The sequence below is a fragment of the Homo sapiens genome, chromosome 3 (genome assembly GCF_000001405.40).
Source record: "Homo sapiens chromosome 3, GRCh38.p14 Primary Assembly".
NCBI lineage: Eukaryota > Metazoa > Chordata > Mammalia > Primates > Hominidae > Homo > Homo sapiens.
In genome coordinates this window covers 112204140-112228935 of record NC_000003.12, presented here as the reverse complement: position 1 = coordinate 112228935, position 24796 = coordinate 112204140, and the positions used below count along the sequence as shown (strand labels likewise).

General features: G+C 36.1%; 1 protein-coding gene across 14 annotated transcripts in view; it reads left to right on the top strand.

Moving 5' to 3' along the window:
* Positions 1 to 24796, top strand: part of SLC9C1 (solute carrier family 9 member C1) — a 153319-nt gene that overhangs the window by 65281 nt on the left and 63242 nt on the right. For 10 of the 14 annotated variants that reach the window (XM_011512718.2, NM_001320531.2, XM_017006248.2 and 7 more), the window contains 4 exons: positions 7711 to 7808; positions 11375 to 11494; positions 20563 to 20758; positions 24533 to 24718. In XM_011512718.2, the coding sequence (XP_011511020.1) occupies positions 7711 to 7808; positions 11375 to 11494; positions 20563 to 20758; positions 24533 to 24718 (600 nt within the window). Of the gene's footprint in view, positions 1 to 7710; positions 7809 to 11374; positions 11495 to 14048; positions 14094 to 20562; positions 20759 to 24532; positions 24719 to 24796 lie in introns of those variants that run through there. The other 4 variants (NR_135297.2, XM_011512727.3, XM_017006247.2 and 1 more) reach the window with 3 other exon arrangements.

The window sequence follows — 24796 nt, the reverse complement described above, 5'->3', positions numbered from 1 at the left end:
TTGATGGACACTTAGTTGATTGTTTATCTTGGCTATTGTGAATTGTGCTGCAATAAACATTCCCCATATATAAACATTGTATTCTAGCCAGGGAAAGATAATATCTCATTATGGTTTTGACTTTCATTTCCCTATTCACTAGTGATGTTAAATTTTTTTATGTGCTTGTTGACCGTTTGTGTCTTTGAGAAATGTCTATTCAGATCCTTTGCTCATTTTTAAATCATACTATTTGTTTGTTTGTTTTTTGCTGTTGGGTGGTTTGAGTTCTTTGTCTATTCTGGATATTAATGCCTTAGTAGAAGAATAGTTTGCAAATATTTCTTTTTGTTCTGCAGGTTGCCTCATTATTCTATTGATTGCTTCCTTTGCTGTGCAGTAGTATTTTAGTTTGATATAATCTCATATGTCTATTTTTCCTTTTGTTTCCTGTGCTTTTGAGACTGTAGCCATGAAATCCTTGCCCAGTCCAATGACTTGAAGTGTTTCTCCTCCGTTTTCTTCTAGTGGTTTCATAGTTGTGAGTCTTTAATCTATTTTGAGTTTATTTTCATATAAAGGAGAGACAAGGGTTTAGTTTCATTCATCTGCATATGACTATTAATCCCAACACTATTTATTGAAGAGACTGTTCTTTCCCCAGTGTACGTTCCTCATGGCTTTGTCGAAAATCAGTTGGCTATAAATAGGTAATATATTCCTGGGTTTTCTATTCTGTTCTCTTGGTCTGTGTGCCTGTTTTTATGCAAGTACTATACTGTGTTGGTTGCTATAGCTTGTTGGTTGTAGTGTATTTTGAACTAGGGTATTATAATGTCTCCAGCTTTGTTCCTTGTGCTCAAAATTGCTTTGGCTACTTGAGGTCTTTTGAGGTTCCATACAAATTTTAGGAATGTTTTCTCTATCACTGGTATTTTGCTAGGGATTGCGTTGAATCCACAGGATTCTTAGGGAGTATGGTCATTTTAACAAGATTTGTTCTTCCAATATATGAACATGGGATGTCTTCCCATTTTTTGTGTTCTCTTCAATTCCTTCATTAGTCTTTTATAGTTTTCATTGTAGAGGTCTTTCATTTTCATGGTTAAATGTATTCTTATGTATTTTTGGTAGCTATTGTAAATGGGATTTATGCTTTGATTTCTTTTCACATAGTTAGCTGTTAGTCTGTAGAAATGCTACTAATTTTGTTTGTTTGTTAATATTGTATCCTGCAACTTCATTAAATTGGTTTAACAGTTCTAGGAGTTGTTTTGTGGAGTCTTTAGCTTTCCTAAATATAAGATTTTAACTTGTCCTCATTCCGTATGATTTTGGCTGTGGATTTGTCATATATGGTTTTATTGTATTTAGGTACATTCCTTGTATATCTACTTTATTGGGAGTTTTTATCATGAAACAATGCTGAATTTTATCAAATGTTTTTTGCGTCTATTCAGATGATCAAATGGCTTTGGTCTTTCTGTTAATGTGATGTCTTACGTGTGTTGATTTGTGTATATTTAAATATCCTTGCATTCCTGGGATAAATCCCACTTGATCATAGTGTATAATCTTTTTGATGTGCTGTTAGACTTTGTTTGCTAGTATTTTGTTGAGGATTTTTGCATCTGTGTTCATGAGGGATATTAGCCTATAGTTTTCTTTTTTTGTTGTGTTGTTTGCTGTTGGTATTAGGGTAATGCTAGCCTCATAAAATGAGTTTGGAAGAATTCCTTCCCTTTCAAAAATGTTTTTTTCTTGGGAGACTTTATATTACTGCTGCAATCTTGTAAGTCTTCATTGGTCTATTCGGACTTCCTATGTCTTCCTGGCTCAATCTCAGTAGGTTTATGTGTCCAGGAATTTATCCATTCCCCCCAGGTTTTCCAATTTGTTGGAGTATAGTTGTTCATAATAGTCTGTAATGATAGCTTGAATTTCTGTGGTCTCAGTTGTTGTGTCTCGTTTTTCACTTCTGATTTAATTTATTTGTATCTTCTCTCCTTATTTTCTTAGTCTAATGGTTTGTTAATTTTTTCTTATTTAAAAAACAACATTTTGTTTTTCTGATCTTTTATATTATTTTTGGTGTCAATTTCACTTATTTTAGTTCTGATTTTTATTACTTCTTTCCTTGACTTAATTTTGGGTTTGGTTTGTTCTTACTTTTTTAGTTCCTTAAGGTGCATAATTAAGTTGTTTTTTGAACTTTTGTGTGTGGGGGGATGGGGGGGGATGGAGTCTTACTCTATCGCCCAGGCTGGATTGCAGTGGTGCAATCTTGGCTCACTGCAAACTCTACCTCCTGGATTCAAGCAATTCTCCTACATCAGCCTCCTGAGTAGCTGTGATTAAAGGTGCTTGCCACCACACCTGGCTAATTTTTGTAATTTTAGTAGATATGGGGTTTCACCATGTTGGCCAGGCTGGTCTCAAACTCCTGACCTCAAGTGATCTGCACACCTCAGCCTCCGAAAGTGCTGGGATTACAGGCATAAGCCACCACACCTGGCCCTCTGTCTATTTTTTTGATGTAAAAGTTTATTACTATAAATTTCCCTCTTAGTGCAGCTTTTGCTATATCCCATAGGTTTTGATATGTTGTGTTTCTACTTTTGTTTCAAAATAAAGAATTACCTTCTTAATTTTTTTTCTTGATCTATCAGTGGTTGAGGAACATGATTAATTTCCATGTGGTTGTACAGTTTCCAATGTTCTTCTTGTTACTGATTTCCAGTTTTACTCCATTGTGGTCAGAAAAGATACTTGATATGATTTTAATTTTTTAAAAATTTGGGGGGCTTGTTTTGTGGCCTACCATATGCTCTATCCTGGAGAATGATCTGTGTGCTGATGAGAAGAACATGTATTCTGCTGTTCTTGAATGAAATGTTCTGTCTATAGTGCAGTTTAAATCCAAAGTTTCTTTGTTGATTTTCTGTGTAGATAGTCCTTCCAATGCTATGACTGGGGTTTTAAAGACCCAACTATTATCGTATTGGAGTCTTTCTCTCCCTTCAGATCTAATAATTTTTGCCTTATGTGTCTGAGTGCTCTGGTTTTTGGTATTTATATGTCCTTTTGCTGATTTGATCCCTTTATCATTATATAGTAAACTTCTTTGTTTCTCTTACAGTGTTTTACTTAAAGTCTATTTTATCAGTTATAAGTATAGCTATATAACTACTCCTGATCATTTTTGGGTTCTGTTTGCCAGAAATATCTTTTTTCATCCCTTCACTTTCAGTCTGTGGGCGTCTTTACAGGTGAAGTGAGTTTTTAATAGGCATAGGCAGTGTGTAGTTGGGTCTTATATTTTAATCAATTCAGCCAGTCTGTATCTTTTAAGTGGAAATTTTAATTAGTTTACATTCAGGGATATTATTGAAAGGTGTCATGTGTTTTTTTTTTTGGTTGGTGTGTATTTCCTTTTGTTTGTTTATCTTTGAAGATTGGTGTTTTTCTGTAATAATAAGGTTTGATTCCTTTTTCTTTAAGATTTGTGTATCTGCTCTACCATTGGGTTTTATATGTTTTTACAATCTTAGTTATTGTCCTTTTGCTTCCAGATATTGGACTTTTAAGCATTTCTTGTGAGTCCAGTCTAGTGATGGTGAATTCTCTCAGGTTTTACTTGTCAGGGAAACACTTGATTTCTGAAGGATAGCTTTTCTGGATATAGTATTGTTGGTTGAAAGTTTTTTTTGTCTTTCATCACTTCAACCATATTATCTTATTCTTTTCTGGCCTATAAAGTTTCTGCTGAGAAATATGCTGATATTCTAATGGAGATTCCTTTATATGTGACTTGACACTTTTTCTATTTTTAAAATTCTCTCTGTCTTTGACTTTTGACAGTTTGACTACAATGTGCCTCAGAGAAGAATTTTTTAGGTTGAATCTTTTGGGGGATATTTGACCTTCCTGGATCTAGATGTCTATATCTTTTCAAAAACTTGGAAGTTTTCTGTTATTACTTTATTAAATATGTTTTCTATGCCTTTTCCCATCTCTTCTCCTTCTTAAATTCCCATAATGATAACATTTGTTTGTGTAATGATGTCCCATGGGTCCCATGAGCTCTCTTGGGTTCTTTGGCTCGCTCTTTCTATCTATCTATCTTTCTTTCTTTCTCTCTTTCTCTCTTTTTTCTTTTCTTTCTTTCTTATCTATGTATCTTTCTCTTTTTCTCTTTTTTCTTTCTCTTTTGTCTGACATGGTTATTTGAAAATATCTGGCTTCAAGTTTAGAGATTCTTTTTTTCTGTTTGATCTAGTTTGTTATCAAAGCTCTCAATTGTATTTTTTCATTCATTAAATTAGCTCCAATATTTCTGTTCAGTTATTTTTTTATAATATCTATCTTTTTGTTGAGTTTCTTATTCACATAATGAATTGCTTTTCGATTTTATTGTGTCTGCTGAGTTTCCTTAATATCATTATTGTAAATTCCTTTTCAGGGAGTTTCTACATTTCCATTTCTTTGGGACCAGTTGCTGGTGAACTATTGTGTTCCTTTAACAGTGAGATATTTTATTGCTTTTTCATGTTTTTTTTGTATCCTTGCATTGATATCTTCAGATCTTGTGAAACAGTTGCCTCTTTCAATTTTGTATAGTGGCTTTCATGGGGAAAGACTCACCTGCAGATATGTCCCAGGGTGTCAGTTGGGTAGGGTGCATTAGCTTTTTACTGGGTGGATACAATAGCATAGCCTCAATACAGTTTCTTCAGCTACAGTCAATGTCATTGATGCCTGTGAGTGCCTCAGTTGCTTAGGCTGCAGAAGTTTGTGTGGCTGGTCTACCTATGTGGGGTCTGCTCCCTTGTGAATGAGGGAGCTGGCTATGCTACCATGGGTAGAGAACCAGGATCATCTGTGATTTGGGGGAAGTGCAGGGCTGGTCAGCCAGCATCTCTTCTCAGGTGCTACTACTTTGAGGACAGGGTTCCAGGCTGGTCTTCACTCTGGGGAAGCAAGGGGCTGGTTAGCCAGCAGCTCAGCTCACTTGACATTTTGCTGCTTCACTTGACATTTTGCTTTTTAGTATAGTTAATTTTTCTTGTAGGCAAATCTAGTAAACCTAGGTAATATTTTTTAGGCTAAAGACTGTGATTTATTTATCTGTATGTCTTCAGTGAATACCACAATGTGTAGTACATAGTAGGTGCTCAAATAATATTCACTCAATTAATTAATCTGAACCTTTTTGGAGTATTTGAGGTTTATTATAGGATCTAATAGCTGTTGTATTTTGATATCTCAATTCTTATCTTCTTTCACTCCTCTCTTGCTGTTTAATTTCTTTCTTTTTCTTTTCCTTTGCCTGCCTGCTTTCCTTTCTTTGTTTCTTTTGTATTGAGATATATCATTCTTTGTTTATTTGTTTGATAAGCTAACTTCAAAAAGTATCTAATTTTACCTTACAAATGATATAAATGTCAATAATACTCTATAACTTTCTAACTAAAATGTTAACTATAGATGTACTTTTAGAGTAGACACGTTTGCATTTCCCTTTTCTCAATCTACCTCTATGTTAATTTTTTAAAAAGCAAAAATTGCTTACTAGGCCTTGTACCCATGGCTGGAATATGAATTTAGTTCAATGTTCTGAAATCTCTTTGTGCTCTTCTTCTATTTTTTGAGACAAGATTTCTTTATGTTGCTCAGACTGGTCTCAAATTCCTGAGCTCAAAGAGTCCTCCTGCCTTAGTCTCCCAGAGTAGCTGGGGCTACAGAGGGACACCACCATGCCCTATTCCCCTGTTTTCACTTTCACACTTTAAGTTTTGTTTTAATGATTATGCTTATTATTCTTATAAACAAGAAGCCTTTTATAGATATGTTTTATTACATATTTCATTCTTTAATATATTGATATTATAATTTTCACTGATTATTTCCAACAATATTCCCAGTTGAGAATATCTTTGAAGTGTATTTTTCAATGGTTTGGCTAGTGTCTCTTGTCTACTTTTGTAGGAAAAAATTGATTAGTAAATGTTTAAAGATGTTTCAGACCTAAAAATAGGAGTTTTATCCAAGTAATGATACATTTATATGAAGACAAAGGAATGATTTTTATGCAATTAATAAATTAATATTTATGAAATTAAATACAGCTCCCTTTCTTGTTTGGATACCTGTAGAATTATTTCTATTTCCTTGTAACTTAAAAATGTTATGAGGCCATGTCTTTTAGTCACTTCCCAATTTTAATGTATTTCAGGAAAATATGGTGTACAAGAACCCACAAAATAAATGAAGGAAACTTCATTTTGAGTCTTGTTTTTGTTACTAATATGATATGTGACTAAGGACTTAATCTATTTAGTTTCCATTCTCCCAATCTATAAAAGAGGAAACTTATGGTGACTGAATAACCTCTTTTTCGCTTGTGATATTCTATGTTTTCTGCAGTGTATACTCCATGTACCTTTTTGATTTATTGCCTCAAATGTTTGGGTTCTACTATTATATTTTGATCATTGATTTTGTGCTATTGTGTCTTAATCAATAAATCTCGCTTTTCAAAGTAGATTGGATTTCTCTGCTCTGTTCTCTAGATCCTCATTTCACTTAATATCTTCCAAGTTCTTCTTAATTTTAGATATATTTTCATGCTCATCTTGATTTGTTGATTTGGTTTCTGCGTTCCCATTGGGAAAGATAATTTAACAGTTAACATCTTCTAGTATCTAATTGCTTTGGTATTTGTGTTGCTAAGCTTTCGCGAGATCCATATAATCTTCAGCTTCCTCATTTTTTCAAACTACAATTTTTATCTTGAGGATACTAAGAATATTTTGATTTAATATTGTTTTAAACATATTTTAATGATATTTAAGGAGAAGAGTGTACTCTATTGAATTCCTGTAATTATGGGAAAAGTTTTTTCATCCCACATCCTCAAGTGTCATTGCTATTTCTTTCTAGTATTTCCCCAAAACGAAGCAGTGTTTAATATTCAAAACTGATCATGCAGAGAGAATGCCTGCTGCAGAACCTAGAAATCTTTGGTCACATAATATATTTCAGTTAAGGAAGTTGGTCTACATAGTTTCTGAATAGTGTTCAGCATATGGATGCCAGGAACAGTGTCAGATACTGGTTTCCATATCATCAGACATAGTCCCTGAAGCTCAGTAGGCTCTTTATATATATGTATTGAATGAAGAAGTGACTGCATTCTGCCAAATAGTAGCAATCTGTTATTATAATACTCCTTATAAATTATAAAATATTCTATAAATAATTATATAAGTTACAAAGATAGAATCATTTTAATCCTTATCACAGATGAGGCAGCAGAGCCCTGTTGTGGAAATATTTGAGAAAATTCAATTAAATAAAGATGTATAGTAGGATTTTTTTTTACTGTAGGTTTTCTCAGAGCCTTTAATATTCATTATTAACTTTTGAGATGTGGATATAGCTTGCAGTAGTTCCCAAACTCATTTGCCAATAAGTTCCATTTATTTTTTGAAAACCTAATTCCATGTCTAGAAGAGCTCTAGTTTCCTTCAGAACCAGTGTGGCTCCACTCAAAGCCAAGACCTACCTTATCCAGTAATCTTATAATCTGAACTCCATAGAAATATTCTTTTTACAAACAGACTAGATTGATTGTTTTTACTTCTTTATCACACATTTTTCCCATCAAGATTGTAATAAGTTGTCATCGTTATTCATGCTATATAATGACTTGAATTAATATTTTTTTAGGCAAGCTACCAGAGACAATACAGGAATGAGATTCTGTCCCAGAGTGCTGTCCAGGTGTTGGTTGGTGCAGCAGAAAGTTTTGGTGAGAAGAAGGGAAAGTAAGTATATTCTCAAGAGATGGCTTCTATTCTAAGCCACAGCATTTAGGAAATTACCCAAGTGAGTTTTCTTGTTTTTGTCTGGTAACTTGGCTCCCTCTACTATTAATATTAATACTATAGTATTACAGCAGAGCTGTCTGCTCTATACCCCACCCTCAGGCCAAACTACCTATTTTCAGTTTCCCAAATTTGCTGCATTCATTCTTACCTCCGTGATTTTGAACAAGCTGTTCCTTCTGACTGAAACTTTCTTTTGTTCTTTGTCCCCCCCTGCCAAAAGTTAAGCTGTGGTAAAGAACTCTTCCTTTTAGACAATTTGAATGCCAGACTAAGTAAGGGTGAAGCCTTCCTTAATCCCTCCAGGCACATCTTCCCCAATACACAGGTAGTACTTCAACATCTTCTCTTAATACTCAGCATGCATTTGTAATCTTGTAGTGATTTCTTTAGATATAGGTCTCCAAAATAAGCAGTGGTTTCCTCAAAGTTGGTGTTTTGAGGGGTACCCTCAGATCATCCCCTGTGGAGGAATGCTGGATCTATGATTGGGCAAAGAGGGGGGTTAAACTGCAGTGCAACTGCAACAGTGTCCACCCAGACATACCTTCTAGCTCTAGACAACAGTCCTGAAGACACCAAAATTCCCTGCTTAAATTGTCCTAAGCTTATTTCCAGAGTCTATTTGGGCCTCTAGTCCTGGTCCATCATCTCATGAGCAAACCCGGCCTTTGGTGTGCATACCCCTAAACCTGAAGGATGTGCCAACCTTGTGTTAAGTCACATGTACAACCTTGTGGTACACTGAAGGATAAAGTTAGATGTTAGAAAAGAAGCAGCCAGAAATTAGGGCATATTTGCATTTCATTTCAAGTACAGACTTTCAAAGTAACTAAGAGTTTTCATTTTAAGCCTAGTCATACAAATCATTATGACATTATATGTGTCATGATAGGAAGATGAAATATATCTTATTTAAAATTTTGTTTCCTTGATTTATAATGCTTGAATATTTTCATCTATGGTACCAGGGTCTCTGTTTGTCCTTTTGATCCAGGCACTTCCAATGCTTTAGGTGACCTAGTAAAGTTGAGGGAGTTGAGAGGGCTGGGCAAATGTGATCAATTCAAAACAATACCGTGCATATTTTAAAGAAGAAAGGTGCACATTGTACAGTGGAAGTTTTTAATAAATGACACAATAAAAAGCATCATTAATATATTTTCCAGGAGATGTTAAAAATAGCAGGCCGGGCATAGTGGCTCATGCTTGTAATCCCAGCACTTTAGGAGGCCGAGGTGGGTGGATCACTTGAGGTCAGGAGTTCGAGACCAGCCTGACCAATATGGTGAAACCCTGTCTCTACTAAAAATACAAAAAAATTAGCCAGGCACGCTGGCATGCACCTGTAGTCCCAGCTACTCAGGAGGCTGAGATAGGAGAATTGCTTGAACCCCGAAGGCAGAGGTTGCAGTGAGCTGAGATTGTGCCACTGCACTCCAGCCTGGGGGACAGAGCAAGGCTCTGTCTCAAAAATAAAAATAAAAATAAAACAACATAGAGCAATTCAGCCCACTGCCTTGATTTTTTTCTCTTTAAATGTTCCCCAAAGGCAGAAGCAACATATGCCTATGAAGGCAAACTTTGGAATATATTACATTTTTTATGCATGCATGTAAGAGATATACATTGAAAACCAATATGTGCAAAGCTATATATTACCAATATATGCCAGTCACTGTAGGGAATATTAATATTAGCAAAATGGTATTCCAGCCCCTGGAGAACTTTCTATTGATGTGCTTATATTCAGTTCTTGCTTCTTTGCTGAGCTGATTTTACCATTTGCTAATTATTCCTATGAGTGCCTCATGTGTCAGGGTGACCTGTGGCAAGAAAAACAAGTCTAAGAAAAGAAAGAGTGGAGGGTTTAAACAGGAGCACCAGGACCTATGCTAAGTGCTTGTATAATTGCCTAAAAAATAATACTTTGAGCACATAGTTTCTTTTTATTGAGTGTCATACCAGGTACAGTTTTAAACACTTTACATGTATTAACCTATTTTACCTCAGAAGAATCTTATTAGATGCTGTTGTTATATTCACGATGCAGGTTAGGAAAATAAAACAAAGAGAAATTAAATAATTTATGCAAGGTCATTTGACTCATAAATTACAGAGTTGGGATTCAAAGCCAAGCTGCCTCACTATCCGGTTAAATAGATCATACTGTTTCCCTAAATCAGGTCTAAACAGTGAACATGTTGATGTAAAATAGGAGTTCAAGAGCCTGAATTACTCAGTAATTTGTGCTGCAAAGTGTCACACATAGATATCACAATAAGACTATATTAAATGCTTATTTTTTTGAGTCCAGGGAGCCCTCTCATTTATTATCTCTGTGGCAACACTTACCACGTTTTACTGCAATTGGTATTTATATGTTTCATCCCACTAGTCTGCTGCAGCCTTGAGGGCAGACCAGTATTTCTTTATGGTTTATCTTTGGCATTTAACAACAATAGCAGATGTTGAATAAATATTTTTTCAATTATAAATGAATCAAGTCATATACATATTCAACATTTTCCATTTATTTACCGCATATTATATTGAATATCAGATAATTGAATGACTTCATTCTTTTCAATTACGTTAGTATCCCTGTAGTAAAAAAAAAAATATATATACAAGTTTTAAAGTAAGAACATTATAATTCATAGAAAGGGCAAGGTTTACCTTTGAACTTGGGTTTCCAATGCCCTTCCATTAAGCCACATTATAAGGTAGGGCCTCACATCCAAGGGCAGAGCCTTACTCTCCTTCTGATCATGACGATGAAAGTATCTGGTCAGCAGCAGGTAAATTCCTTGAAAAGCCAAGGAGATTGGCTAAACAAGACATGATCATATACACGGATCTGAGCTGTCTCAATTAAAAAAAAAAAAAAAAACCTAGCAGAAAGCTACAGAAAACTTGGGACAAGTGCTACCAAAATGACATTGAGCTCTTATGACCAGTGACTTTTCTAAGTTACTATTTTAACTCATTTTTAGTCATTCTAAACCTTACTATCTGCTTTGAAGGTGAAGACAAAGAGATGGGAAGATGTGTGATATGAGTTGGATGCTTTATACATGCTTTCCCATTTAATTATCCCAGCCTAACATTGGTATTTTTATCCTTATTTTGTAGATTAGCAAGCAAGTTAATGAGGTAATTTGTCCATTGCCATACCAGACAATGGGGAATCTAACATGAAAACCCAGATGTCTGAATCCCAAATATTTGAAACATAGTATGTTTTCTATCCCTGAACCTTGAAATCTCTATTATTTTCAACCATGTATCTCCAATTTTTAATACTCTCTGTTTAACAAGTGAGCCTGACAATCTAACTTCATGAACCACGCCCATGAAAATGTCTTAATCCAACCATCATGGCACAAAATAGTCTTCCTGTTTTGTGCAAAATTAAACTTATGTACAACATTAAACTTCCAGTACAACATTAAACTTATCTCAAAATGTTTAAAGCATGTTTAAAGATTTCTCTCTTTTTCTAGATGTATGAGTCTTGATACAATAAAGAATTATTCTGAAAGCCAAAAAACAGTTACCTTTGCTAGAAAACTACTACTTAATTGGGTGTATAATACCAGAAAGGAAAAAGAGGGCCCATCAAAGTAAGTGCTTTTGAACCTTATAAGAAATGCTATTATATTCACTTGAAATTCCCTGTTTTTTCTTTTAAAATGGTATCTTGAATTTTTTGTTATTATACTATAAGTGCTAGGGTACATGTGCACAACGTGCAGGTTACATATGCATACATGTGACACGTTGGTGTGCTTCATTCATTAACTCGTCATTTACATTAGGTATATCTCCTAATGCTATCCTTCCCCCCTCCCCTCACCCCACAACAGGCCCCAGTGTGTGATGTTCCCCACCATGTGTCCAAGTGTTCTCATTGTTCAGTTCCCACCTATGAGTGAGAACATGTGGTGTTTGGTTTTTCGTCCTTGCAATAGTTTGCTGAGAATGATGGTTTCCAGCTTCATCCATGTCCCTACAAAGGACATGAACTCATCCCTTTTTATGGCTGCATAGTATTCCACGGTGTATATGTGACATATTTTCTTAATCCAGTCTATCATTGATGGACATTTGGGTTGGTTCCAAGTCTTTGCTATTGTGAATAGTGCCACAATAAACATATGTGTGCATGTGTCTTTATAGCAGCATGATTTATAATCCTTTGGGTATATACCCAGTAATGGGATGGCTGGGTCAAATGGTATTTCTAGTTCTAGATCCTTGAGGAATCGCCACACTGTCTTCCACAATGGTTGAACTCGGTTACAGCCCCACAAACAGTGTAAATGTGTTCCTATTTCTCCACATCCTCTCCAGCACCTGTTGTTTCCTGACTTTAATGATTGCCATTCTAACTGGTGTGAGATGGTATCTCATTGTGATTTTGATTTGCATTTCTCTGATGGCGAGTGATGATGAGCATTTTTTCATGTGTCTTTTGGCTGCATAAATGTCTTCTTTTGAGAAGTGTCTGTTCATATCATTTGCCCACTTTTTGATGGGGTTGTTTGTTTTTTTCTTGTAAATTTGTTTGAGTTCTTTATAGATTCTGGATATTAGCCCTTTGTCAGATGGGTATATTGCAAAAATTTTCTCCCATTCTGTAGGTTGCCTGTTCACTCTGATGGTAGTTTCTTTTGCTGTGCAGAAGCTCTTTAGTTTAATTAGATCCCATTTGTCAATTTTGGCTTTTGTTGCCATTGCTTTTGGTGTTTTAGTCCTGAAGTCCTTGCCCATGCCTATGTTCTGAATGGTATTGCCTAGGTTTTCTTCTAGGGTTTTTATGGTTTTAGGTCTAACATTTAAGTCTTTAATCCATCTTGAATTGATTTTTGTATAAGGTGTAAGGAAGGGATCCCATTTCAGCTTTCTACATATGGCTAGCCAGTTTTCCCAGCACCATTTATTAAATAGGGAATCCTTTCCCCATTTCTTGTTTTTCTCAGGTTTGTCAAAGATCAGATGGTTGTAGATGTGTGGTATTATTTCTGAGGGCTCTGTTCTGTTCCATTCGTCTATATCTCTGTTTTGGTACCAGTACCATGCTGTTTTGGTTACCACAGCCTTGTAGTATAGTTTGAAGTCAGGTAGCGTGATGCCTCCAGCTTTGTCCTTTTGGCTTATGATTGACTTAGCAATGTGGGCTCTTTTTTGGTTCCATATGAAGTTTAAAGTAGTTTTTTCCAATTCTGTGAAGAAAGTCATTGGTAGCTTGTTGGGGATAGTATTGAATCTATAAATTACCTTGGGCAGTATGACCATTTTAACAATATTGATTCTTCCTACCCCAGAGCATGGAATGTTCTTCCATTTGTTTGTATCCTCATTTATTTTGTTGAGCAGTGGTTTGTAGTTCTTCTTGAAGAGGTCCTTCACATCCCTTGTAAGTTGGATTCCTAGGTATTTCATTCTCTTTGAAGCAATTGTGAATGGGAGTTCACTCATGATTTGGCTGTTTGTCTGTTATTGGTGTATAAGAATGCTTGTGATTTTTGTACATTGATTTTTTATCCTGGGACTTTGCTGAAGTTGCTTATGAGCTTAAGGAGATTTTGGGCTGAGACGATGGGGTTTTCTAAATATACAATCATGTCATCTGCAAACAGGGACAATTTGACTTCCTCTTTTCCTAATTGACTACCCTTTATTTCCTTCTCCTGCCTGATTGCCCTGGCCAGAACTTCCAACACTATGTTGAATAGGAATGGTGAGAGAGGGCATCCCTGTCTTGTGCCAGTTTTCAAAGGGAATGCTTTCAGTTTTTGCCCATTCAGTATGATATTGGCTGTGGGTTTGTCATAAATAACTCTTATTATTTTGAGATACGTCCCATCAATACCTAATTTATTAAGAGTTTTTAGCATGAAGGGCTTTGAATTTTGTTGAAGGCCTTTTCTGCATCTATTGAGATAATCATGTGATTTTTGCCTTTGGTTCGTTTTATATGCTGGATTACATTTATTGATTTGTGTATGTTGAACCAGACTTGCATCCCAGGGATGAAGCCCACTTGATCATAGTAGATAAGCTTTTTGATGTGCTGCTGGATTCGGTTTGCCAGTATTTTATTGAGGATTTTTGCATCGATGTTCATCAGGAATATTGGTCTAAAATTCTCTTTTTTTGTTGTGTCTCTGCCAGGCTTTGATATCTGGATGATGCTGGCCTCATAAAATGAGTTAGGGAGGATTCCCTCTTTTTCTATTGATTGAAATAGTCTCCGAAGGAATGGTAGCAGCTCCTCCTTGTACCTCTGGTAGAATTCGGCTGTGAATCCATCTGGTCCTGGACTTCTTTTGGTTGGTAAGCTATTAATTGTTTCCTCAATTTCAGAGCCTGTTATTGGTCTATTCAGAGATTCAAATTCTTCCTGGTTTAGTCTTGGGAGGGTGTATTGTCCAGGAATTTATCCATTTCTTGTAGATTTTCTAGTTTATTTGTGTAGAGGTGTTTATAGTATTCTCTGAGGGTAGTTTGTATTTCTAGGGGATTGGTGGTGATATCCCCTTTATCATTTTTTATTGCATCTATTTGATTCTTTTGTCTTTTCCTCTTTATTAGTCTTGCTAGTGGTCTATCAATTTTGTTGATCTTTTCAAAAAAACCAGCTCCTGGATTCATTGATTTTTTGAACGGTTTTTCGTGTCTCTATCTCCTTCAGTTCTGCTCTGATCTTAGTTATTTCTTGCCTTCTGCTAGCTTTTGAATGTGTTTGCTCTTGCTTCTCTAGTTCTTTTAATTGTGATGTTAGGGTGTCAATTATAGATTTTTCCTGCTTTCTTTTGTGGGCATTTAGTGCTACAAATTTCCCTCTACACACTGCTTTAAATGTGTCCCAGAGATTCTGGTATGCTGTGTCTTTGTTCTTATTGGTTTCAAAGAACATCTTTATTTCTGCCTTCATTTTGTCATGTACCCAGTAGTCACTCAGCAGCTGGTTGTTCGGTTTCCATGTAGTTGAGCGATTTTGAGTGAGTTTCTTAATCCTGAGTTCTAATTTGATTGCACTGTGGTCTGAGAGACAGTTTGTTATAATTTCTGTTCTTTTACATTTGCTGAGGAGTGCTTTACTTCCAACTATGTGGTCAATTTTGGAATAAGTGTGATGTGGTGCTAATAAGAATGTATATTCTGTTGATTTGGGGTGGAGAGTTCTGTAGATGTCTATTAGGTGTGCTTGGTGCAGAGCTGAGTTCAATTCCTGGATATCCTTGTTAACTTTCTGTCTCGTTGTTCTGTCCAATGTTGACAGTGGGGTGTTAAAGTCTCCCATTATTATTGTGTGGGAGTCTTAAGTCTCTTTCTAGGTCTCTAAGAACTTGCTTTATGAATCTGGGTGCTCCTGTATTGGGTGCATATATATTTAGGATAGCTAGCTCTTCTTGTTGAATTGATCCCTTTACCATTATGTAATGGCCTTCTTTGTCTCTTTTGATCTTCGTTGGTTTAAAGTCTGTTTTATCAGAGACTAGGATTGCAACCTCTGCTGTTTTTTGCTTTCCATCTGCTTGGTAGATCTTCCTCCATCCCTTTATTTTGAGCCTATGTGTGTCTCTGTACATGAGATGGGTCCCCTGAATACAGAACACTGATGGGTCTTGACTCTTTATCCAACTTGCCCGTCTGTGTCTTTTAATTGGAGCATTTAGCCCATTTATATTTAAGGTTAATATTGTTATGTGTGGATTTGATCCTGTCATTATGATGTTAGCTGGTTATTTTGCCCATTAGTTGATGCAGTTTCTTCCTAGCATAGATGGTCTTTACAATTTGGCTTGTTTTTGCTGTGGCTGCTACCAGTTGTTCCTTTCCATGTTTAGTACTTCCTTCAGGAGCTCTTGTAGGGCAGGCCTGGTGGTGACAAAGTCTCTCAGCATTTGCTTTTCTGTAAAGGATTTTATTTCTCCTTCACTTATGAAGCTTAGTTTGGCTGGACATGAAATCCTGGGTTGAAAATTCTTTTCTTTAAGAATGTTGAATATTGGCCCCCATTGTCTTCTGCCTTGTAGAGTTTCTGCTGAGAGATCTGCTATTATTCTGATGGGCTTCCCTTTGTGGGTAACCTGACCTTTCTCTCTGGTTGCCTTTTACATTTTTTCCTTCATTTCAACTTTGGTGGATCTGACAATTATGTGTCTTGGGGTTGTTCTTCTTGAGGAGTATCTTTGTGGCATTCTCTGTATTTCCTGAATTTGAATGTTGGCCTGCCTTGCTAGGTTGGGGAATCTCTCCTGGATAATATCCTGCAGAGTGTTTTCCAACTTGATTCCATTCTCCCTGTCACTTTCAGGTATACCAATCGGATGTAGATTTGGTCTTTTCACATAGTCCCATATTTCTTGGAGGCTTTATTCATTTCTTTTTACTCTTTTTTCTCTAAACTTCTCTTCTTGCTTCATTTCATTTATTTGATCTTCAATCACTGATACCCTTTCTTCCAGTTGATCTAATTGGCTACTGAAGCTTGTGCATTCATCATGTAGTTCTTGTGCCATGGTTTTCACCTCCATCAGGTCCTTTAAGGACTTCTCTACACTGGTTATTCTAGTTAGCCATTTGTCTAATCTTTTTTCAAGGTTTATAGCTTCTTTGCCATGGGTTCGAACTTCCTCCTTTAGCTCGGAGAAGTTTGATCATCTGAAACCTTCTTCTCTCAACTCATCAAAGTCATTCTCCATCCGGCTTTGTTCTGTTGCTGGTGAGGAGCTATGTTCTTTTGGAGGGGGAGAGGTGCTCTGATTTTTGGAATTTTCAGCTTTTCTGCTCTGTTTTTTCCCCATCTTTGTGGTTTTATCTACTTTTGGTCTTTGATGATGGTGACGTACAGATGGGGTTTTGGTGTGGATGTCCTTTGTGTTTGTTACTTTTCCTTCTAACAGTCAGGACCCTCAGCTGCAGGTCTGTTGGAGTTTGCTGGAGGTCCACTCCAGACCCTGTTTGCCTGGGTATCAGCAGCAGAGGCTGCAGAACAGCGAATATTGCTGAACAGCAAATGTTGCTGCCTGATCATTCCTCCGGATGTTTCATCTCAGAGGGTTACTCGGCCTTGTGAGGTGTCAGTCTGCCCTTACTGGGGGGTGCCTCCCAATTAGGCTACTCGGGGGTCAGAGATCCACTTGAGGAGGCAGTCTGTCCGTTCTCAGATCTCAGACTCCGTGCTGGGAGAACCACTACTCTCTTCAAAGCTGTCAGGCAGGGACATTTAAGTCTGCAGAGGTTTCTGCTGCCTTTTGTTCGGCTATGCCCTGCCCCCAGAGGTGGAGTCTACAGAGGAAGGCAGGCCTCCTTGAGCTGCAGTGGGCTCCACCCAGCTTGAGCCTCCCGGCCACTTTATTTACCTACTCAAGCCTCAGCAATGGTGGGCGCCCCTCCCCCAGCCTTGCTGCTGCCTTGCAGTTCGATCTCAGACTGCTGTGCTAGCAATGAGTGAGGCTCCGTGGGCGTGGGACCCTCCGAGCCAGGTGCGGGATATAATCTCCTGGTGTGCCGTTTGCTAAGACCATTGGAAAAGTGCAGTATTAGGGTGGGAGTGACCCGATTTTCCAGATTTCATCTGTCACAGCTTCACTTGGCTAGGAAAGGGAATCCCCCGACCCCTTGCACTTCCCAGATGAGGCGATGCCTTGCCCTGCTTCGGTCATGCTCGGTGCACTGCACCCACTGTCCTGCACCCACTGTCCAACAAGCCCCAGTGAGATGAACCCGGTACCTCAGCTGGAAATGCAGAAATCACCTGTCTTCTGTGTCACTCATGTTGGGAGCTGTAGACTGGAGCTGTTCCTATTCGGCTATCTTGGAACTGCCCCCTATCCTGAATATTTTGCAAAATATTTTGAGGAATTTTACAATGAAATTTCTTTTTAAAAATTTTTGCATATTTTATTATCTGAAAAATGGCCTTATTTACAGTCATAGAAAATGCTCACAAACATACCTAAAGTAAGAAAACAAAAATAATCTGTATTAACAAATTCATTTTTTATACCTGTTACTAAATCAGCCTTCAAACTCACCACAAATTTTGGTACCACCATATATTGTTAGAGTTTTTATAAAAATCAAAGGAGATTATGGCATAATATAAAAGAAAAATGATCTGGCCAACATCCACTATAAACCTTAGCTGCATCCTTTTAATTTTTTATTTTTAAAAAAAATAAAGGGTTTTTTTCCTGTCTTTACAATTGATTTAAAGCTTTGAAGTGGGTGGTAGCCACCTCAGAGGAGACTGATGAGTGTCACAGGGCATAAATAGCTACAGAATGTTTATTAGAAATGTGGGGGTCAGCCACCACCCTAAATTTCTTATGTACATACATAAAGTTACTTAAAGAATAAAAAGGATAGGAATAGTATTCTCTTTTTAATTGAGGTAAATTTCATATACATAAGTTAACCATTAACCATTTTAAAGTGTATAATTTAGTGTTATTTATTAGTCCAAAAATAAACTGGGTATTCATTAAGCAGTCATTCCCCATTTTGCCTTTTTGCCCTGCTCCTGGAAAGCACCAGTCTGTTTTCTGTCCCTGTGAATTTACTTATTTCAAATGTTTCACATAAATGAAATCATCACTATGTAGCCTTGTGTTTCTCGCTTCTTTGACTTAGCCTAATGTTTTCATCCACATAATAGAATGTGTTAGTAGCATAAGGGTCATCCTCTTTGTAGCATGTATCAATATGTGATTCCTATTTAAGGTTAAATAACGTTCCATGGTATATATACCACATTTTATTTACCCATTCATCAGTTTATGGACATTTGAGTTGTTTCTGCCTTTTGGCTATTATGAATAGTGCTGCCATGAACATTCATGTGCAAGTTTTTATTTGAATACCTGCTTTCTACTCAAGGGCATATCCCAGGGGCAAAATTGCAGGACTGTGTGGTAATTCTATATTTAGTTTCTTGAGTAACCACCAAATTGTTTTCCACACTTGGTATACAATTTTGATATCAGGAAGTATAAGTCCTTCAACTTTCTTTTTCAAGATTGTTGTAACTAGTTGAGGTCCCTTAGAATTCCATATAAATTTTAGATTATCTTGCCTGTTTCTGCAAAATAGAGAAAAAGGTCAAGATTTTTATAGGATTTAATTTAATCTGTAGATTGCTTTGGGTAGCATTGTCATATTATCAATATTAAGCCTTCCAAACCATGAACATGGAATGTCTTACCTTTTATTTAAATCTTTAACTTATTTTGGTAATGTTTTGTTGTTTTGAGCACGCAAGTTTTAGGTTAACATTAATCCTAACTATTTTGTTGTTTTTGGTGCTATTTTAAATATAATTGTTTTCATAATTTCATTTTCAGATCAGTACTTTCTAGTGTATAGAAATACAACTGATTTTTATATATCGATTTTGTTTCCTGAAACTTTGCTATTTTGTTTATTAGCTCTAGTTGATTTTTGCACATTCTCTAGGATTTTCAATATATAGGATTATGTCATCCACAAATAGAGACCATTTTACTTCTTCCTTTTCAATTGGAATTTCTTTTTTTTCTTAGATTCAAGGGAAAGAAATATAGCTAGTGACAAAATGAATGAGATCAGTGACTGCAAATTTAACCATAAATTTAAGCAAAGGTAACCTCCAGTGCCATGCTTTGCCAAACATGGTTTTGCTGCTGGAAGAGATCAAGAAAAGCAGACTGGAGAGAGGACAGAGAGGTTATCACAAAGTTAACAAGGCTTAAACTCTGCAGCTCCCATCACAGAGTAACTGCCAGAGGCCTTGGAGGGCCCTGGCAATGTGAGCACAGACTATATATTACTGCACTCATAATTTCATCATATTTTTTTTTCAAATGGTATCCAAAATTGTAAAAGCTTCTGGGCTATGGCATAGATGTACCTTTGAGAATGAGAAAATGATCTGGTACTTACCCAGTCTTCAATCGGCAATTAATTAATCATTATCATGTGAATTTTAACAACAATAGTGTATTACTATACTACTTGAATAATTAAAATATTAAAGTAAATCTTTTTATCTACATTTCTACTCTCCATCATATTGAATATGGAAGCTATTTTTCAAAGCATATACATTAATTTAAATTTTGTGATAAAATTTGGATCCATATATTCCACCACCATGCATCCTAGGCTTTGATCCCAATTTTATACCTTGACAAGAGAAGATGCTCATGATACGTTGTTAAAAGGGAAAAATGCAGCTTACAGAAAAATGTGTCATATAACTTCTTTTATGTTTATGGATAATCATTTTATAAACATAAAAAGTTGGAACAATATTCAAACTAATAGTATTCATCTCTGAAAATAGGAATTATCAAAAGCTAGAAAGTATTCTCTTTATTTAAAAAAAATTCCAGTTTGAATTTCTCCTGTGTTATACCAAAAATATTTCCATTAAAAGTAAAAAGAAAAAGTGAATGAGATTTAAGGAGGGAGAGAAAGAAAAAGGAGAAACTAGACTCAAGACAGAGGAGGATCAGTGGAAGAAATTAAAAGGACAGTATCTGAAGTGGGATGCCAGAACGTGTTAGCTAGTGGTGGCTGCTTTCAGAATTATTAAAGAAGGCTCTGCAGCTGTTGATAAGTAGAACAGAAATGAGTATATATGAAAATCATTTAATGTAAACCTTTTATCAGATAAAACTGTCTTTTTGTTTTACAGATACTTCTTTTTTCGTATATGCCATACAATAGTATTTACTGAGGAATTTGAACATGTTGGATACCTTGTGATATTAATGAATATATTTCCCTTTATAATCTCTTGGATATCCCAGTTAAATGTAATCTACCACAGCGAATTAAAACACACTAACTACTGTTTTCTTACACTTTATATTCTAGAGGCACTACTTAAGGTAATCTAAAATTTATGTGTGTATGGAAGTGTTATATGTCTGACAGGGAGATTTCCTAGCCTTGTTTTTCAACACCAGCAACAGACAATTTTCTGAAGGAGTGTATGAATTTCTTCCTCACGTCTCCAAACTTTAATTTTTGAAGGTGATTTTTATAGTAACTCAATAGATAATATGCATACTTGAAGCACTGATTTTGTATTTCCAGAAATGAATTTTAAAATGGTGTGTGTCAAAGGGACACAAAGTGAGTTTAAAAGGTATTGGCAATATTCTCAGTCTTAGCAGGGTGGTGAGTACTTGAAGGTTCATTTTATTATTTTTATACTGGATAGATATTTTTATATCTCTCTAGTATGATAGAGGAATACACAGAGTACAATGGGAACAGACAGAAGGAGCTTCTTATGCAGAATAGTAGGGTCGGAGAAGGAAGGTATTCAAGGGAAAGCAATACTTGAGTTGAATTTTTAATAATGTCTAGGAGACAAAAAAGAGAATAACTACAAGTACATTGCATAATAAACAACAAGAACAAGGGAAAACATAGAAACAACACCATGACACATTAAGGAACACTACTTCCAATGACTGAAGCTCAGGAATGAATTGGTCAGAGTGGAGATTGGAGAGATGTTAAATATGTTTTCAGGATGTGGAAAATGAGGGAAGAGACATAGATGTGAATTAAATAATAAAGGGCAGGCCATGCTGTCTCATCTACTTTTGTGACATCAACTGTCATTCATAGTCTAATGACTCCCAAATTCATGTCTATAGCTCAGATTTTATCCAGAGCCGTAGATCATATAGGTAGCTGCTGACTATATCCCTCTGACAAAGTACTGTGCAAACATTACAAGCAGCATATTGAAAAGAAATTTGTCTTCTCTTATCCTACTATCCCTTCAGAATTTCAATGGAAACCCAATTTCCCAAGCTGAAATCTACAATCATCTTTGAAATCTCCCACTTTCTTAGCTATACTAGGTTTCAAGAAACCTTTTTTTGAAATATGCAGAAAGACTGACTGTATCAACTATCACAAAATAGTAGGAATTTTGACTATTTTCTCCCTTCGAATAGATGCTTCAGTATTTTAGCTATTTGATTTCAAATTAGTATGATCATTTACTAGTATAAATATATACTTTAACATGTCTAAATTCAAATTATTATTATTATTATACTTTAAGTTCTAGGGTACATGTGCACAACGTGCAGGTTTATTACATATGTAAACATGTGCCATGTTGGTTTGCTGCACCCATTAACTCGTCATTTACATTAGTTATTTCTCCTACTGCTTATCCCTCCCCCCAGCCCCCGACCCCACGACAGGATCCGGTGTGTGATGTTCCTTGCCCTGTGTCCAGGTGTTCTGATTGTTCACATCCCACCTACGAGTGAGAATATGTGGTGTTTGGTTTTCTGTCCTTGTGATAGTTTGCTCAGAATGATGGTTTCCAGCTTCATCCATGTCCCTACAAAGGACATGAACCCATCCTTTTTTATGGCTGCGTAGTATTCCATGGTGTATATGGGCCACATTTTCTTAATCCAGTCTATCATTGATGGACATTTGGGTTGGTTCCAAGTCTTTGCTATTGTGAATGGTGCCGCAATAGACATATGTGTGCATGTGTCTTTATAGTAACATGATTTATAATCCTTTAGGTATCTACCCAGTAATGGGATGGCTGGGTCAAATGGTATTTCTAGTTCTAGATCCTTGAGGAATTGCCACACTCTTCCACAATGGTTGAACTAGTTTCTACTCCCACCAACAGTGTAAAACTGTTCCTATGTCTCCACATCCTCTCCAGCACCTGTTGTTTCCTTTTTAATGATGGCCATTCTAACTGGTGTGAGATGTTATCTCACTGTGGTTTTGATTTGCATTTCTCTGATGACCAGTGATGATGAGCATTTTTTCATGCATCTATTGGCTGCATAAATGTCTTCTTTTGAGAAGTGTCTGTTCATGTCCTTTGCCCACTTTTTGATGGGGTTGTTTTTTTCTTGTAAATTTGTTTGAGTTCATTGTAGATTCTGGATATTAGCCCTTTGTCAGATGAGTAGGTTGCTAAAATTTTCTCCCATTTTGTAGGTTGCCTGTTCACTCTGATGGTAGTTTCTTTTGCTGTGCAGAAGCTCTTTAGTTTAATTAGATCCCATTTGTCAATTTTGGCTTTTGTTGCCATTGCTTTTGGTGTTTTAGACATGAAGTCCTTGCCCATGCCTATGTCCTGAATGGTAATGCCTAGGTTTTCTTCTAGGGTTTTATGGTTTTAGGTCTAATGTTTAAGTCTTTAATCCATCTTGAATTGATTTTTGTATAAGGTGTAAAGAAGGGATCCAGTTTCAGCTTTCTACATTTGGCTAGCCAGTTTTCCCAGCACCATTTATTAAATAGGGAATCCTTTCCCCATTGCTTGTTTTTCTCAGGTTTGTCAAAGATCAGATAGTTGTAGATATGCAGCATTATTTCTGAGGTCTCTGTTCTGTTCCATTGATCCATATCTCTGTTTTGGTACCAGTACCATGCTGTTTCCAGCTTTGTTCTTTTGGCTTAGGATTGACTTGGCGATGTGGGCTCTTTTTTGGTTCCATATGAACTTTAAAGTAGTTTTTTCCAATTCTGTGAAGAAAGTTGTTGGTAGCTTGATGGGGATGGCATTGAATCTATAAATTACCTTGGGCAGTATGGCCATTTTCACGATATTGATTCTTCCTACCCATGAGCATGGAATGTTCTTCCATTTGTTTGTATCCTCTTTTATTTCGTTGAGCAGTGGTTTGTAGTTCTCCTTGAAGAGGTCCTTCACGTCCCTTGTAAGTTGGATTCCCAGGTATTTTATTGTCTTTGAAGCAATTGTGAATGGGAGTTCACTCATGATTTGGCTCTCTGTTTGACTGTTATTGGTGTGTAAGAATGCTTGTGATTTTTGTACATTGATTTTGTATCCTGAGACTTTGCTGAAGTTGCTTATGAGCTTAAGGAGATTTTGGGCTGAGACGATGGGGTTTTCTAGATATACAATCATGTCATCTGCAAACAGGGACAAATTGACTTCCTTTTTTCCTAACTGAATACCCTTTATTTCCTTCTCCTGCCTGATTGCCCTGGCCAGAACTTCCAACACTATGTTGAATAGGAATGGTGAGAGAGGGCATCGAATTTTTTTGAGAAATTAAAAATAACTTATTCTGCGTTATCCCAGAATGAAATTACACAAGTGAATTTAGTGAAGAAAGCATAATCTTTTAATAAATATATTTTTAAATCTTGAACTACTTTAATAAAAACTTTGCCCACATGTGTCACAACAAACATAAACTAATTTTGTTTTGACTACTCAGAATCATCATTTTGGATATAAATTATAAAATAATAAAAAATGGATGCAACCCCCAGGATTTTTATGGCATTTAGGGCAACTTGTTTTAAATTAAAACACCCTGGCGTACTACATTTTTGTCTGAATTTGCCTTTTCATTGTCGCTACTTTTTACTGGTGTCATTATATACATTTGTTTGTTTTCATTATACCTGTCCTTTAAACCCAATCCTAAATTAATAGTTCTAGGAGTATTCCTTTATTACAAGATAAATTTGATGAACTTGTTTGTTTGATTTTGGTTTCCTGAGGATATTTCATACATGTGGAGTAGATAAGAGAAAAGCCTAACATGATGTTTAAATTATTGTGGAAAATGGTGTAGTAAAAGCAGAAACAAACATGATAATGTAATTTCCTTTTAAATCAACAGATAGCAGCAATGAGGAAGGACTTTTTTTCACATGCCTGGAACATATTCGAGTTAGCAATTACATTAATTGGCATCTTACATGTAATACTTATTGAAATAGACACCATTAAGTATATTTTTAATGAGACTGAAGTAATAGTCTTTATAAAAGTTGTTCAATTTTTTCGTATACTACGCATTTTCAAGGTAAAGAACCAGTAAATCGTGCAATTTCTAATTCCTACTGATTGTTTCATAAAACATAGAGTAAAATTAGTTTACTAG